We start from the raw sequence: 16,832 nt of genomic DNA, 5'->3' as shown, positions 1-16,832 counted from the left end.
CAGTTTGATAACTTTCCAAACAATAGGAAGTTTGTTTTGAATAATATGTTTCAATATATTCAGAATTAATTTCCCAGAGTAGTTCATTCAGAGATCATTGCTTCAATCAAGTGAAAAATTTTCTTATTTTTGCGGGGGGCATTGTTTGTTTTTTTGAGGCAGTGTCTCACTCTGTTACTCAGGCTGGAATGCAGTGCGCCATCTTGGCTCATTACAGCCTCAACCTCCTGGGCTCAATTGACCCTCCAACCTCAGCCTCCCAAGTAGTTGGGACTGTAGGCCCAACCACCACACCTGGCTAATTTTTGTATTTTTTGTGGTGATGGGGTTTTGCCATGTTGCCCAGTCTGATCTTAAACTCCTGGGCTCAAGCGATCCTCCCACCTCAGCCTCCCAAAGTGCTGGAGCTACAGGCGTGAGCCACTGTACCCAGCCTAGTTTTGTTGTTGTTGATGTTGTTAATTGGTTTTGTGCTTACCTTGGACACACAGACACCCTTCCTGGAAAAAAAAATAGTTCATCCCATTAGGTTATTGACATCCCAAAAGGCCTCTATGTCAGTGCCCCGTTCTGTAGACCTGCTGTTAGATCAGCTGCCTACAGTTCCTCCCCGAGTTGTTCCTCAGTTTCTTGGTGCATTTGTAGCTAAGTATATCCTTGCACTCATTAGGAACTCTTTGCAAATCAGTTTGTTTTTTAAAAAAAGAAATATTTGAATGGCTGGTGTAAAATAACAGGCAGATACCCATGGGAGCAAAACAGTAAATATAAGAAAAATTAATCCCATTTTAAGGCTCAATAAATCTACCTTGATGTGCCTATAGATTGTATAAGAACACTGATACTTTTAAAAAGTAGATTGAGGCCGGGTGCAGTGGCTCACACCTGTAATCCCAGCACTTAGGGAGGCAGAGGTGGGTGGATCACCTGAAGTCAGGAGTTCAAGACCAGCCTGGCCAACATGGTGAAACCCCGTCCCTACTAAAAAATACAAAAATATTGGCCAGGCATGGTGGCGCACGCCTGTAATCCCAGCTACTCGGGAGGCTGAGGCAGGAGAAATGCTTAAACCCAGGAGGTGGAGGCTGCAGTGAGCCGAGATCGCGCCACTGCATTCCAGCCTGGGCGACAGAGTGAGACTCTGTCAAAAAAAAAAAAAAAAAAAAAGGCTGGGCCCAGTGGCTTACACCTGTAATCCCAGCACTTTGGGAGGCTGAGGCAGGTGGATCACGAGGTCAAGAGATCAAGACCATCCTGGCCAACATGGTGAAACCTCATCTCTAATAAAAATACAAAAATTAACTGGGCGTGGTGGTGCGCGCCTGTAATCCCAGCTACTCAGGAGGCTGAGGCAGGAGAATCACTTGACCCCGGGAGGCGGAGTTTGCAGTGAGCCAAGATCATGCCACTGCACTCCAGCCTGGTGACAGAGACAGACTCCATCTCCAAAAAAGAAAAAGAAAGAAAAAAATTAGATTGGAAACAATATTCTAAAACACAGACATAATCTACTGATTTTTTGATAGCTAATATTTGCTTTTTTGAATTATTATTTTTTTTACACCAAGACATGTATTCTCAAGACAGAGTAAATCCTCCCAGCTCTGAACACCTATTCTTACCCCATTTGCTTTGGGTAGCCACTATCTCTTATTTCCTGAGTTTGTATTTGCTTTTGAAGTTCTTTCGTGATTTTTTCTCCCCAAAAATAATTAGCAAAATATTCTGTTAAAATTTTTGATTTAACGTTTCTGAATTTAAAACTATGCTGTCCTTAATGCTTCTTTTCTTCTCTCTCCTTATGAATGTTTCCTCTTTGGCAATTGCTTTTAAAGTGAACCTATCCCCGCTTCGTGTTCTGGGGGCACCCACCCTGTAATGGCGAGACTTCCTAGCCCCACTGTAGCTAGGAGCGCTGTGCAGCCTGCCAGGTACTGGACAGATACAGATGCATGCGGCACCCGGTGCAAAGGTGCCGAACAGCAGATGCATCCTAAAGTCTTGAATGTCTGTCGTTTGTTTGACAAACAAGTCAATGCCGTGAGTTGTTCCAGAATGCGTGGCATTTTGTTTTGTCATAGCACAAGGTGCTGATAACCACATGCTGGCGTGCGTGGGAAAACATTTTGTCTCTCTGCATATGTTATGTGTTAGAACTAGGATCACACTAACTCACGTATCCAGTTGCTTTGTTTGTTTTTCATAATAATGGTCATCCCTCAAAAATTTTGTTCTTCATCTAAATACTGTTATAGCACTTAATAAAGATTAATAGAAAAATGGGACATTGGCCAGGCGCGGTGGCTCATGCCTGTAATCCCAGCACTTTGAGAGGCCAAGGCAGGTGGATCACGAGGTCAGGAGATTGAGACCGTCCTGGCCAACATGGTGAAACCCTGTCTCTACTAAAAATACAAAAATTAGCTGGGCATGGTGGCATGTGCCAGTAATCCTAGCTACTTGGGAGACTGAGGCAGGAGAATCGCTTGAACCTGGGAGGCAGAGGTTGCAGTGAGTCAAGATCGTGCCACTGCACTCCCGCCTGGTGACAGAGCAAGACTCTGTCTCAAAAAAAAAAAAAAAAAAGAAAGAGAAAAAAAGAAAGAAAAAAAAAGAAAAATGAGACATTAACCTGAATGTTGAAATGCTGATAAGACCCAGTCTTTTTCAAACACCTGTAGACACAAATACAGACTGAAAACAATCCTCCCTCTTTCTAATTTATAGAGTCAATGCCATTATATTTTGGGACTGGGAAAATAACAATTTGTAGTGTCTAAACGTAGATGTTTTACTGTCGTGTTTCAGATTGTGGTGCTTTAAAATTATGTCCTCACATCAGGTCATATCCCTTCATTTTACTGTTATATGAGCCAAACCGCAAAAGCTAAAAATAATGGCAGTGCCGGGATAAAGCTGGTACACCCACAGCAGGGCCCTCCCGGAGAAGTGGGTTTCCCTGCCCTCCTGGTTACTGCACGAGGTCCACGGAGGACTCTGAGGCTCAGGTGGCTTTTTTGTCACTGGCCTCATTATACACCTGGAATATGGAAGCTGGCTACTCTTTGGCCTGGGATAGCCTGTGCATTGGGGATTCACTAGAATCAAGGCAGAATATCTCCTTTACTAGATCTGACAATTGGATCGGTCAGGGACAGAAGATATAGTGCATTACAAACCCCTAGAGATTCATATTGACCGTGAAGACTTCAGGCTTTCCTTCTCTTCTAGCTGGAAGTTGGAGGGAGCTATTTATTTATTTACTGATTTATGTATTCATTCATTTATTTTTGAGACAGAGTCTTGCTCTGTCGCCCAGGCTTCATCACTGCACACTGCAGCCTCTACCTCACAGGCTCAAGCGATCCTCCCACCTCAGCCTCCTGAGTAGCTGGGATCACAGGTGCACACCACCAAGCCTGGCTAATTTTTATATTTTTTGTAGAGATGGGGTTTCACGATGTTGCCCAGGCTAGTCTCCAACTCCTAAATTCAAGTGATCCTCTTGCCTTGGCCTTCCATAGATATGAGCCACCAGACCTGGCCAGTTGGAGGGATTTATAATCACCTGAAATTTTCTTTACTCCTCTGGTTACTGGAAATTGCAGATTTAAGTACCTTTTAGAAAACTGGTAGGAACCTATGAGAGTAAATGCTAAGCTGAAGCAGTGACTCTTTAAAAATTAAGCCATTTGTCTTTAGCAAGTAAAAATCAAGACCTTCTGTTATGTTGTTGACAGAGGACTATATCGTTTCCTAATTATTTAAAATGAAAGACCACCTTCTGAACCATATCTTTAGATAAGGTCTAAATACACCGTAGGTAATACTTTGTGACTCCCTTTCATTCTACTTATTACGATACTAACAATGCCGCCTCTCTGTCTAAGATAAGGTATAGCCAAGCTGACTTCAATGTCTTAAACAGGAAATTCGTTTTGTAGAAATAATTCGGAGCTCAAAGTCTGCTCTTTGTAGAAGTGATGATGCTAAGTGTCCTGTGCCGACTCTGCTTGTTGAGTAGCTGAACAGCTGCCTGCCTCTGTCCTAGACGTGCTTAGGGAAAAAGAAGCCCTTTGCAAAATGATGTGACACTTGGCAGAAAGTTAACGTAGAAACTTAGCGGTGTGCTTTTGTTTGTTGGTATATGTGTTGCTGACATTTTATTTTTTTCAGATTGCAGGCCTCTGCTCACCAAAAGGCCTTAGCCAAGGACCAGACAAATGAGGGCAAAGAGCTTGCTGAGCAAGGAGAACCTGATTCCTCCACTCTAAGCTTGGCCGAAAAGTTGGCCTTGTTTAACAAATTGTCCCAGCCAGTCTCAAAAGCGATTTCTACCCGGAACAGAATAGACACGAGACAGAGGAGAATGAACGCTCGCTATCAAACTCAGCCAGTCACACTGGGAGAGGTGGAGCAGGTGGGTGTGCTATAGTCCGATTGCAGTTTGTGTGTGTGTGTTCTTAAATTATAGCACTGCAGTATTCCTCTGAGGTCAATGATGTAATTAAGGTGCTCTACCAGGAAACTGCTACCTGTAGGTGATTTGGTAATAGCTTTCTTCCTAAAAATGAGAATTCTACCAAGTATGTTGCTCTTTTTTTGTTTTCATACCTTGCTTGCTGAAATATCTAGAATGAGTCCATTTTGGAGAGAAAAAAATAGTATGCCCAACTGTGTTTCACCCAGAGGATTTTGTTTAATGAGACGTATTATATAACTATGTCCAGGAATGGTTTTCCACTAAGAGAAACAGTGAAACTGCATCAAATCGAGTATTTCAGCTTCTGTCAATTCATAAACCAGGATTTATATAGATGATATTTTTCAAGCAGCTTTTTAATTTTTAACTGTGTCCTTCCAGGTGCAGAGTGGAAAGCTCATTCCTTTCTCACCTGCCGTGAACACATCAGTGTCTACCGTAGCATCCACGGTTGCTCCAATGTATGCCGGAGATCTTCGCACAAAGCCACCTCTTGACCACAATGCAAGTGCCACTGACTATAAGTTTTCTTCTTCAATAGAAAATTCGGACTCTCCAGTTAGAAGCATTCTGAAATCGCAAGCTTGGCAGCCTTTGGTAGAGGGTAGCGAGAACAAGGGAATGTTGAGAGAATATGGAGAGACAGAAAGCAAGAGAGCTTTGACAGGTCGAGACAGTGGGATGGAGAAGTATGGGTCCTTTGAGGAAGCAGAAGCATCCTACCCCATCCTGAACCGAGCCAGGGAAGGAGACAGCCATAAGGAATCTAAATATGCTGTTCCCAGAAGAGGAAGCCTGGAACGGGCGAACCCTCCCATCACCCACCTCGGGGATGAACCGAAGGAATTTTCCATGGCTAAAATGAATGCACAAGGAAACTTGGACTTGAGGGACAGGCTGCCCTTTGAAGAGAAGGTGGAGGTGGAGAATGTTATGAAAAGGAAGTTTTCACTAAGAGGTAAGTGACCAGTGCCCCTAAAGCTTTAGAAAGCCACTGGGTTTTAGTTTCTGCTTGATTTGTCCTGTGTCTATGATGGCTTTTAACAAAGTTCTATAGGCAGTTTACAGCTAGTATTGGTTAAAAGTTCAGCGGGAATCCTATTCTTCCCTGGATCTGACTAGAGGATACATCAAGTTTTCAGCAATAAAACTACTGGAAGAGCTTTCACACATCTTCATGGAGTTTCTGTTGACTTTGGTCACTCACACAATGGCCTTCTGAGCTGCTTAGTTCTGGTGGCCCCTTTTAGAAATTGATGACCCCAAAGGTCCAGGCTGGGTAAGCACAAGGAATTCAGGAAAGACTTGACCCCAGTCTCTGAATCGCTAGAGTGCTTCTTCCTGCATGCCTGTTTTGCAGGCTAGCAAGCTACACTGCGTGGGCCCTTCATCCTCTTTCTACGTTTGTATGAAACAGTACAGTGTAAGTTATAATAGGGGTTTGCGTTTGTGAGTATAGCACATTTGAATGTTAAGGTATTATTTTGGAGAATAGAACCATTCTGGAGTAAATAGTTAAAGCTGACTTCCTGTGTCTCGCACACAGGAGAGAAACCAATTGCCACGAAGCATTTTGCTGTGTGGGTAACCCTCCAGGAAGTTTGGTTTTCTCACAGAGTGTAGCGTGCTGCAGATTTGCATAAATCCCAGTGGATTGGGTCACCCGCCGTGTGCCCACGGATTGAACCCTGAGAGCTGCACTGTTGAGGGCGAATCGCTGGAAGAATGTTTGCCTGAGGAGTTCAGTGCTGATGTTGCTCTTTTCCTTCCCAGCGGCAGAGTTCGGGGAGCCCACTTCCGAGCAGACGGGGACAGCTGCTGGGAAAACTATTGCTCAAACCACAGCCCCCGTGTCCTGGAAGCCCCAGGATTCTTCGGAACAGCCACAGGAGAAGCTCTGCAAGAATCCATGTGCGATGTTTGCTGCTGGAGAGATCAAAACGCCGACAGGGGAGGGCCTTCTTGACTCACCCAGCAAAACCATGTCTATTAAAGAAAGGTAATGAGATTCGGTGAGCGAAAAGTAATTCTCTCGGGGAGGAGCTTACAGCTTGCTTTTAGAAAACAATCTCGGTGATGGGCAAAGAGATGAAATCATACATTCAGCTTCTAACAGGACTGTGCTGTTGTCCTGGAGTAATTCTAGGAAGCTGAGGTGTTTGAGAGTGAACTGCCTTTGCTCATGAGCCTGGTTTGGTAATGAGCCTGGTTTGGACAGGGCTGGTTCCAGACTCAGATGAGAAAACAAACAGAAACAGACTTCTGTTTTATTTATTTGTTTCCACTGTCCCAATATCTTTTATAATATTAAATTCTTGGACTATCTAATGACAGGAGCTGAAATCTTGGCTCTTCCCCTTTTAGATACACAGGGTTCATACTGAATGCACAAACCACTTGTGACTTTGTGTAAAATATGTGTAGAGGGAGTGAAGATAAATTTACATAGAGGGCATATATCTTTGGACTTAGAATCCAAGTTTTGTTTCTTTTACAGATTGTAAAATGGATGACTTTTCTGAACTGCATTTAGAAATTGTATGTCAGGTAATAGCTTGAAAGATTGCATTTCAGCATCAAATAACACAGTAGCCTAATTTCTTTCAAAAGAATGACGTAGGGTGCAGAGGAATATATTTAAATTAGACAGATACAGAGAACTGGAAGTAAATTACCTTGGGGATGTGTTTTCCTTGTTAACCCTTAACCACAGATGAATTAAGCAGCAAAAGATGCAATAGTGGGAATAAATTCAGAGTTTGATAGCAGAGTAGGGTGACTAAATAAAAACGTATTGTACTGAGGTGATGGACATTCTAAATAGAGGCTTGATCACTATGCATTTTATATGTGTAACAAAATTTCTCATGCACCACATAAATTTGTACAAAAAAAGGAGAAAGTATTCAGTAGGAAAAAAACATGATGGAATAGTTGATAGGAAAACTGGGTGAAGAAAAATCTTGTCAACTCCATATTAGGAGAACCATTTCCATCGCCTGTTCCCACAGTTCTGCCAACCTCCACCCTTCCTCAGCACCTCCCACCACACGGAAGTCTGCAGGCTTCACTGACCACTCTTATTTTTCTAGATACATTTCAAACTGCCTAAGACTATACTAAACCACAATGAAAAGTCTTCTTTCTTTCTTTTCCTTCTTTCCTTTTTTTTTTTTTTTTCTTTTTGAGACTAAGTCTTGCTTTGTCACCCAGGCTGGAGTGCAATGGGATGATCTTGGCTTACTGCAACCTCTGCCTCCCGGGTTCAAGCGATTCTCCTGCCTCAGCCTCCCAAGTGGCTGGGACTACAGACGCACACCACCACACCCAGCTAATTTTTTGTATTTTTAGTAGAGTTGGGGCTTCACCGTGTTAGCTAGGATGATCTCGATCTCCTGACCTCCTGATCCGCCTGCCTCGGCCTCCCAAAGTGCTGGGATTACAGGCGTGAGCCACCGTGCCTGGCCCCTTCTTTCTTTTTTTTTTTTTTTAGAGGAATGGTCTTCCTCTGTTGCCCAGACTAGAGTGCAATGGTGCTGTCACAGCTTCACTGCAGCCTCGAACTCCTGGACACAAGTGATCCTCCTGCCTCGGCCTCCCCAGTAGCTGGGACTGCAGACACGTACCACCATGCCTGGCTAATTTTTTCAAAAAGATTTTTTGTAGAGTTGGGAGGTCTCACCATGTTGCCCAGGCTGGTCTCGAACTCCTGGCCTCAAACAGTCCTCCCACCTCAGCCTTCCAAAGTGCGGGGATTACAGACATGCACCACCACACCTGGCCCTTCTTTCTAGTTTTAAGCCAAGCTTCTTGAACATTATTTGTAAAATAATAGATGCTATCTTTTTCAACTGACAAATTAATCACATTGTTAAATCTGACTTACTTTCTCCTTTACTTACTTAAAATTCATGATAAGTTAGACCTGGCAGGCTGAGGGGCATAGGGAAGGGGCAGAGGGGACAGTGCAATGAGGAGAGGGATGTCTTCAATCGGGGAAGCAGTTGGGCCTATTGAGGCTTGAAGTTCTCTTCCACGAAAATGGGGCTCAAAGAGAGTTTCATCCCAGAAACCCAAATATTGACAACTGGTTAGGTGAGGAAGAAGAGAGATCATTTAAGGAAATTAACAATAAATATCACTTATACACAAGTTCTGATGTTTTACACATGAGAAAATATCCCTGGGGTATTCCCCAGTGGGAAATACTAATATTATGCCCCCTTCTTTCAAAGGCTTTTAAAGGAGCCTTCCCATCTTTGGGAATATTCTGTCCATCTGGACTTAGGACTTTTGATGAAGAAGTCCTGTGTCTATCCACTAAGCAATAATTCCTGATTTACTTACCTGTTTTTTGGTAAATTTTAGTTGACCTGTATTTTTCTGAAAGCTTTAATCCTACTGTAAAATTCTCATTTTTAAAAGTGAGATACTGGAAAGACGTAGCTTCTTAGCTTGGGCTTTGTGGACATGTAAGGCGTTCAAGGATGGCTGTAAAGTTTCTGTGAACAGCCCGGAAGTGTATTCAGAATTGAATGGGTGAGCACACACACCTGCTGGCTAACAGAAGCCATAACTTATCATGGTCTCCAAGAGATCCCTGAGCCCAGTCTGTTCAGAATCATGATAGAAAGGAATGCTTGATTGATATTCAGCTATTCAGTTTGTTAAAATACATTTATGAAAGAACAAGGGACACTTTATTTAGCAGCTATGCTTGTAATAAATTACACTAATGCAAAATATATTGCCAGTGATCTTTTCCCCCTTACCTTCACAGTACTTTTATTTGTACTTTGCTGAAAGTGACTAAATTACATATATTTACAATTCATCCATGATAGCTTTTCCATGAGACTTTAATCCCTCCCTTTTGTGAAAATGAAATAATGAAGCTTAAACTATTTAAAATAAGAATGTTATTCCTCCATTTATTTGGGCTTTACTTTTCCTTCTTGAGAAAGAAATATATAAAATCATAGGACTTCCAAACTTTATTCTAACCGCCTCTGACTGCCTCATTTTACCAAAGGAGGGATTCGGCTCCGGTAGCCTCCAGGGCCACGTAGTGAATAGAGCTGACCCAGGGGCCACGTCTCCAACTCTCCCCTGGTCCATGGTGAGACCGCGGTGCGCTCAGATTAGTGTTAGAGCAGCCAACCCCGTGTGCTCTAACCAGGAGAATACGGTGAGAGGACAGAAATCCCAGCTAGACAGCAGTGTTAGAAAGACACACCTTCTTTCTTCATGAATTTTCTCAGTTCACATGCTCTTAACAGGGCTTATATTTCAAATTACACATCCAAGTTCACATTTCAGAGTCTCAGAAATAGAGTCTGGAATTTGCAGATTTCCTTCATCGTTTTTTATAAATGCCTGTCCCCACTAAGGAGGGCAGGTCTGTCTTCTTCAGCCTTGTTGTGTCAGTCTCTCCCCTGTCCAGGGCCTGACTATATTAAGTTCTCAGTGCTCAGTGCTACCCAGCGTCACAGACTGCCTTCCACATTTTGTACATGATCTCTCATTTAATTTTTGTCTGTTTGTTTGTTTTTTGAGATGGAGTCTCGCTCTGTCACCCAGGCTGGAGTGCAGAGGCACGATCGCGGCTCACTACAACCTCCGCCTCCCAGGTTCAAGTGATTCTCCTGCCTCACCCTCCTGAGTAGCTGGGATCACAGGAGCCCACCACCATAACCAGCTAATTTTTGCATTTTTAGTAGAGGCGGGGCTTCACCATGTTGGCTACGCTGGTGTCGAATGCCTGACCTCAGGTGATCTGCCTGCCTCAGCCTCCCAAAGTGTTGGGATTACAGGCGTGAGCCACTGCGCCCGGCTTTCATTTAATATTGAAGACAGCCTCCAGAAGAAAGCAATATTATCCCCATTTGTAGACAAAAAGCATAGAAACTAAGAAATTATAGGAAAACCTCCATACACTCCTTTTTTAGAATATGTTTGATGCTCAAGGAAACATATTAAAAAGTTATTTTTATATTTATTTATTTATTTGTTTATTTTCTGAGACAAGAGTCTCACTCTGTAGCCCACGCTGGAGTGCAGTGACACGATCTTGGCTCACTGAAGCCTCCCCCTCCTGGGTTCAAGCGATTCTCCTGCCTCAGCCTCCCAAGTAGCTGGAATTACAAGCACTTACTACCATGCCTGGCTAATTTTTGTATTTTTAGTAGAGACAAGGTTTCACCATATTGGCCAGGCTGGTGTCAAACTCCTGACCTCCAGTGATCCACCCGTCTAGGCCTCCCAACGTGCTGGGATTGCAGACGTGATCACCACACCCAGCCTTAAAAAAATTTTTTTTCATCTTTTCTGACATTGTGAATGTCAAATTTGAACCATAACCAGCAAAAAACTTAGGATGCAATCGACTTTTCCCACCGGATTAGTAAAATTGCTATTTTCTGACTGTCCAAATGATGTGTGTTTAAATTATCCCTGTTTGGGAACTTCTTTGAGAAACATTGCGAATTAAATAATTCTTATGTTATTTAGGGATAAAACCTTTGCTATTGCTTAAAGAGTATGTTAGGCCTTTAGAAATCTTATTTCCACAATGTCAGAAACAGTGGCATCTGAGCTTTCTTATTTAGGGAAAAAGACTATTGAAAAGAAAAAAAGAGCCATCCTTTCACTTTGGCAAATTGGTGGCATGTAAGGACTTAGTGGAACTCCCTGAACTGTTGCAGAATCCACCTCACGCCTCTATGGTGTTCTGCCCTAGAGGGACCGGCTGGAGGCTCCTGTGTTTCCCGCCTGCCGGCCCCCGCCCCAACCATCCACCCTTCGGTATCCCACCCAGCCAGAGGCTGTCTCCCTGTCTCCACAAACTCCAGGTTCTTACCCTGTAGCTGGGAGATTTCAGCCACTAGAGGGCCCCAGATTTATGTAGGAATAAGAATAGAGCGGCAGTTCCCCTTTACTCCCTCCTTTTCTTTTTCTTTTTCTTTTTTTCTTTTATTTTTCTAGACAGGGTCTTGGCACTGTTGTCCAGGCTGGAGTGCAGTGGTGCGATCATAGCTCACTGCAGCCTCCACCTCCTGGGACTCAAATGATCCTCCCACTTCAGCCTCCCAAGTAGCTGGGACTACAGGCACACACCACCATGCTCAGCTGGCTTTTTATTTTTTATTTTTATTTTTTTGTAGAGACGGGGTCTTGCTCTGCGGCCCAGGCTGGTCTCCCACCTCCTGGCCTCAAGCGATCCTCCCACCTCAGCCTTCCAAAGTGCTGGGATTACAGGTGTGAGCCACCACGCCTGGCCCTCCTTTTCCAAAGTGTGATTTGTCTCTCATTTAAAAGACACTTTAGTTCATTCACTTCTCCAACTTGTGAACCAGCCAAAACCAAGATCTAATATAAGTACTTAAGTGTGCTGTTCATCCCTATCAGAGATCTATGGGGTGCCTGTAATTCTCTAAAATGAAGGGAAAATTCTGAAAAAGAGAGAGAAAACACATCTTATTTAATATTAGGGGCACATGGTTGTCATGTCTCCTGTTTGACCCAGCCCTGACTGCTCTGAGCCTGATGTCCTTGTTCTCAACAAGCAGGGTTCTCAGGCCAGCATTCCCTGCTGGAACAGTGTGGGCTATGGAAGAGGAGGCACCGTTTCCCCGGGTGTCCTGGCAGGCACCTGTCACGGTGGCCCTGGGCCAGGCGTTGGGTGAGCGGGCCAGTGTCGTGCCTCTCTCTGGGTTCACACAGCCCAGGCCTAGCCACTGCCCAGGCTCCCAGCATCACAGTCCTGCAAACAGCACTTTGGCTTGGCAGTTGTTAGAAGCGCTGACAGTTGTTTGAATTGCACCGGCAGGAATTTATGTCCTGCGTAGGCCCAGACGTCGGCTCCTCGACCCTCTCAGAGCCTGGTGGTCTGCGGTGAGCCGGAGGGCTGTGAGCTCACAGGAGGAAGGGACACATTTGGGAAGATCTCCCTCCCTCCTCAGCGTGGTGGACACCAATGAGGAAATCTAAAGGGACAGGAAGAACACACTCAAGTTTTAGTGCGTGTTATTTTCAAGTTATTCGTCATGTGCTCCGTAGGCTGGAGCCGAGGGCTGGCTCCAAGTGCCAGGTGGGCTCCACGGAAGCACAGTTTCTTCCAGATTATTCTGGTTACTCTGTAGTCTTCGGAAGTCCCCAATGGTAACCCTGCCAGCACATGTAGAAGCAAAATTTCAGGGTTTTGGAATGGAGGAATTCTTTGGAGGCCATCCCATGGTGGGAAAAACCTTATAAGAAAGCCAGAATCCTATGCCTTTCCTAAAACGGTGTGGCAAAAATGTGTCCGGTCAGCTAATGTTCTACCGAAGTGAAACAAGCTACACACAGGCAGGCGAGGGCTGCAGTCACGTCTCTCTGCCCACTAACATCCAGTGTGACCTCAGTCAATGGAATTCTTGACCCGGATGTACCCACGTTCCTTGTCCGTCAGAATGGGAATAACAATTCCCAGTGTCTTAGGGGTCGCCGTGCAGATCAGCAGAGTATAAGATGGACGAGGAGGTGATCTCAGATGCCACAGCTTGTGTTTTTCTAAGTCAGTTTTAGATGCCACAAAGCAACCACCAGGGAAATCGTCCGATGACATAGGTGCTGGTGTCCTTGCCCCAGACTTTTGGGAGCTTCTTTTTGAGAAGGTCTTCAAAGACCAGAGCTCATGACTTTTAATGAACTCAACTCAGGAAGATGAATTTGATCTTTTAAAAATTCATCATTTGAATCCAATCTGATTAACAAGGTGGATGTTCAGGAGGAGTAGCTGCCAGCCTGGGTGGAAGGTGAAGTGAGAGAAGCTGGTTCTGAGGCCAGTTTACAGGGAGAATATCAGTGAGATGAGTGCTTGGTTCCACAAGATCATGAACTGGAAGGACTTCTCATTTGGGTATTAAAGTGCTGGCATGCTTACTTTTTGAAAGTCTCATTTATTGATGCTTTGAAAGCTCAAATACAGCATGCAAATATGAATTTCTTTTAATGATTTCATTTTGTGAGATTATTTTATTAGGATAAAACTGACTCATTCAAAATAATTGGAGAAAAGATGAATCATAGTCATTATATAGTATGAAATGGTGCGGATTAGAGCTCTTGAAGGAATTTCGACTTCGTGTCCAAGCCCATGAACTAGCTCTTGTAGCATGCAGGGTGTTGTTAAACATTCGAGAATTACAGGAGTTAGGACTAAATGAGACCTTGACCCAAAGGGATCTGCATGAGATTGACAAGGCAGCCTTACCCCAGTTCTAGAGATTGAGCACTTGAGATCTTATCTGCTGCCACTTAGCAGAAAGAGGAAAACAGAAATGAAGGGGGGAGAAGGAAGAGATTGAGGAAGGGGACAGGTCCAGAGTTCGAAGCTCCTGCCTCCTTTGGGGGATTCCTTTCTTCACGGCTTACTTCCCGTTATTTGACTGAGTGAATAGACAAATACAAGGTGTGATTATGTACACATACGTAGATGTCGCCGGATTCTTGTTTAAGTACTACAAAATTTGTTTTCTTATTAGCATAACAAAACTTTTATCATAGAATATATCTCATCCCATCTCCAAAACAAATATTTAATGGGAATCGGGAAGCTTGGAAGAAGGACCCTTAGAGATCATCTGACCAGTTCCTGATGTGACAGATATAGGAGGGAGAACCGAGATACCCAAAGGGAGTAGCCAAATTGGGACCAAAGCTGATGTTCTGCTTAAAAATACACTGTTGTCTAGGCGCGCTGTCTCATGCCTGTAATCCCAGCACTTTGGGAGGCTGAGGCAGGGGATCGCTTGAGGCCAGGAGTTCAAAACTGCCCTGGGCAACATAGCAAGCACCTGTCTCTACCAAATAAAAATTTTAAAAATTAGCCTAGTGTAGTGGTGCACAAGTGTAGTCCTAGCTACTCTGGAGGCTGACATGGAAGAATTGCTTGAGCCCGGGAGTTCAAAACCAGCCTGAGCAGCATAGCAAGACCTCGTCTCTACAAAATAAAAATTTTAAAAATTAACCAGGCGCAGTGATGCACACCTGTCATCCTAGCTACTCTGGAGGCCGAGGCAGGATTGTCGCTTGAGCCCAGGAATTCGAGGCTGCAGTGAACCGTGATTGTGCCGCTGCACTCCAGACCTGGTGACAAAGGAAGACCTTGTCTCTAAAACAAATTTATAACAATAAAAAATATTTATGGATTTAATATTTATGGATAAAAATATTTATGGATTTAATATTTATGGATTTAATATTTATGGATAAAAATATTTATACCATTTGTGGATTATGCATTAGTGATATCAATAAGACCTGGCCCATCAGGTCCAGCACAGAGGGAAAAGGATCTAATTATTTGGCTTTTCCCTACTCTTTAAATTGTTTGAGCATCGGCTCAAATGAGTTTAGTGATCACCACCTTTTTTTTTTTTTTTTACCTTTTATCTTTCCCATGTTTGTTTGTCCAGCGTAAATACCTAAGATTTCTTCATTCATGCAATACAGTTAGCTGAAATAGCCTCAAGTTTGTGAAAAATAACCTTTCAGGATTCCAGTATTCAAGCACTGCCTATCAAGTCACATCATCATTGAGCTAAAGTAGGTTAGTTAACAATATCAGTTAATTAGATTCTTTTTTTGTGTATATCCTTCCCCTGAGGAAAGTTGAAGTGATAATTTTAAAAAATGGGTTTATAGAAAATAGTTTCTGTCTAAAGAAGATGGATAAGAATGATCAAATTCATTTGTAGGAAAAGAATAGGGCTTAGAACACCTGAGGAGAAACAGTCATAAACATCAAATTTTACCTCTAATTGAAAGGGATGATATTAAGAGACTGTAAGTGCTTCATGGCTTTATGTTTTTGTTTGTTTGTTTGTTTTTTGAGACAGAGTCTCACTGTGTCACCCAGGCTGGAGTGCAGTGGCACAATCTCGGCTCACTGCAACCTCTGCCTCCCAGGTTCAAGCGATTCTTGTGCCTCAGCCTCCCGCTGGCTAATTTTTGTATTTTTAGTAGAGATGGGGTTTCACCGTATTGGCCAGGCTGGTCTCGAACTCCTGACCTCGTGATCCACCTGCCTCAGCTTCCCAAAGTGCTAGGATTACAGGCGGAAGCCACCGTGCCTGGCCAGCTTTATGTTTTTAAGCCCATGTCTGCATCATTTTCTGTAACACAGCTTTAGTCCTTTAATGTTATTTCACAAGTGACCAGAAGGCGTCGCTAAAAGACATTTTTCTCTGGGGACGGTTCTCTTGCTTTCAGCCCAAGGCCAAGGAACAGACATCCTTGGCTGGAATGATGGTGCATCTTTTATCTAGCAAGTCAGATTTCAGCTCTGTGTTTCAATCAACTGTAAAATCTTCGGGCCATCTTAGAAAAGGGACTTTATTATTTTTCCAGACATGCTGTCTTCCGAATAAATGAAATTCAAAATGTTAAAACGAGGCGGCTGTGGTCATATCTTGGCCCAAGCCGCCTCTCTTACCTAGATTATGGTTCCATCACAAGGAAGAGTTTGGTGCTGAACTCTTTGTGGCGGGCATGTTTTCCTCCTAGATTGGCACTGTTGAAGAAAAGCGGGGAGGAAGATTGGAGAAACAGACTCAGCAGGAGGCAGGAGGGCGGCAAGGCGCCGGCCAGCAGCCTGCACACCCAGGAAGCAGGGCGGTCCCTCATCAAGAAGGTAACATTCCCCATGTTAGGAAAAGCCTTCCGACTAACATCACTCTTGGAAGTGCATCAAAAAGACAAGCGTGTGCCACCTAATTCCTACTCTGTGAAGCATTTGTGCATTTTTGCCCTTAGGGTACACACTGAGAGTCTGTCACAGAGCAGCTAAAATTGGGCAGAAGGCTGTGCCTGGAGATGTTTTAAAACTGGGATCAGCAACACACACACACTATGTCAGCAAGCAAGTGCCTGAATTTTAAAGTGTGGACTTTTTCTTCAGTTTAAAAACCTTCTTAAATGAAGTCTGGCTTTCATGTGTTATTAAAGCCTTTATAATGAAAAAAATTGAATTCACCACTAATATCTTTAAGTTCCATGTAAAATACAGACTTGTGTTTCCCATGCAGAGATTTTAAACCTAAGTATAAAAAATAAGGACATAATTGTGGTTTATGAGTATTTAGTTCATCATTTAAGCGTGTTTCATGAGTAGCTATGCCTTTTATTGAGAATGTACAGTAATGTATAAGTTGAAACAAAATTAGGTAATGCATGGTGATCAATACTAGCAAGCATTTCATATGCGAAAGTATTGATGAATTGTTAAATCACAGATGTGATGATGACCAGCTTTTGACCAGGTAGTGCACACTTTTGAAACTGATGGTGACTTACTTGCTGGCTGGCC

At 43.5% G+C, this 16,832-nt stretch overlaps 1 protein-coding gene and 1 long non-coding RNA gene across 5 annotated transcripts in view, besides 1 other annotated feature; one reads left to right on the top strand and one right to left on the bottom strand.

Moving 5' to 3' along the window:
* Positions 1–16,832, top strand: part of SVIL (supervillin) — a 279,599-nt gene that overhangs the window by 208,045 nt on the left and 54,722 nt on the right. For 3 of the 4 annotated variants that reach the window (NM_001323599.2, NM_021738.3, NM_001323600.1), the window contains 5 exons: positions 1,836–1,931; positions 4,177–4,420; positions 4,865–5,441; positions 6,257–6,482; positions 16,031–16,157. In NM_001323599.2, the coding sequence (NP_001310528.1) occupies positions 1,836–1,931; positions 4,177–4,420; positions 4,865–5,441; positions 6,257–6,482; positions 16,031–16,157 (1,270 nt within the window). The remainder of the gene's footprint in view (positions 1–1,835; positions 1,932–4,176; positions 4,421–4,864; positions 5,442–6,256; positions 6,483–16,030; positions 16,158–16,832) is intronic. The other variant, NM_003174.3, reaches the window with a different exon arrangement.
* LOC124902401 (uncharacterized) lies at positions 11,613–16,043 on the bottom strand. Its single transcript, XR_007062099.1, has 2 exons — positions 15,960–16,043; positions 11,613–13,911 (listed from the first exon to the last, which is right to left on the bottom strand). It is a non-coding gene; the product is annotated as an uncharacterized LOC124902401 (long non-coding RNA).
* Positions 12,175–12,675: an enhancer, noted in NCBI's record as "H3K4me1 hESC enhancer chr10:29805146-29805646 (GRCh37/hg19 assembly coordinates)". NCBI's record gives its function as "activates a minimal SCP1, AML or CMV promoter by ChIP-STARR-seq in naive H9 embryonic stem cells {active_cell/tissue: H9 hESC(naive)}" and the evidence as "EXISTENCE:reporter gene assay evidence [ECO:0000049][PMID:30033119]".

Source organism: Homo sapiens, chromosome 10 (assembly GCF_000001405.40).
Source record: "Homo sapiens chromosome 10, GRCh38.p14 Primary Assembly".
Taxonomy (NCBI): domain Eukaryota; kingdom Metazoa; phylum Chordata; class Mammalia; order Primates; family Hominidae; genus Homo; species Homo sapiens.
The sequence above is the reverse complement of the archived record's forward strand: the minus strand, read 5'-3'. Positions and strand labels throughout refer to the sequence as shown.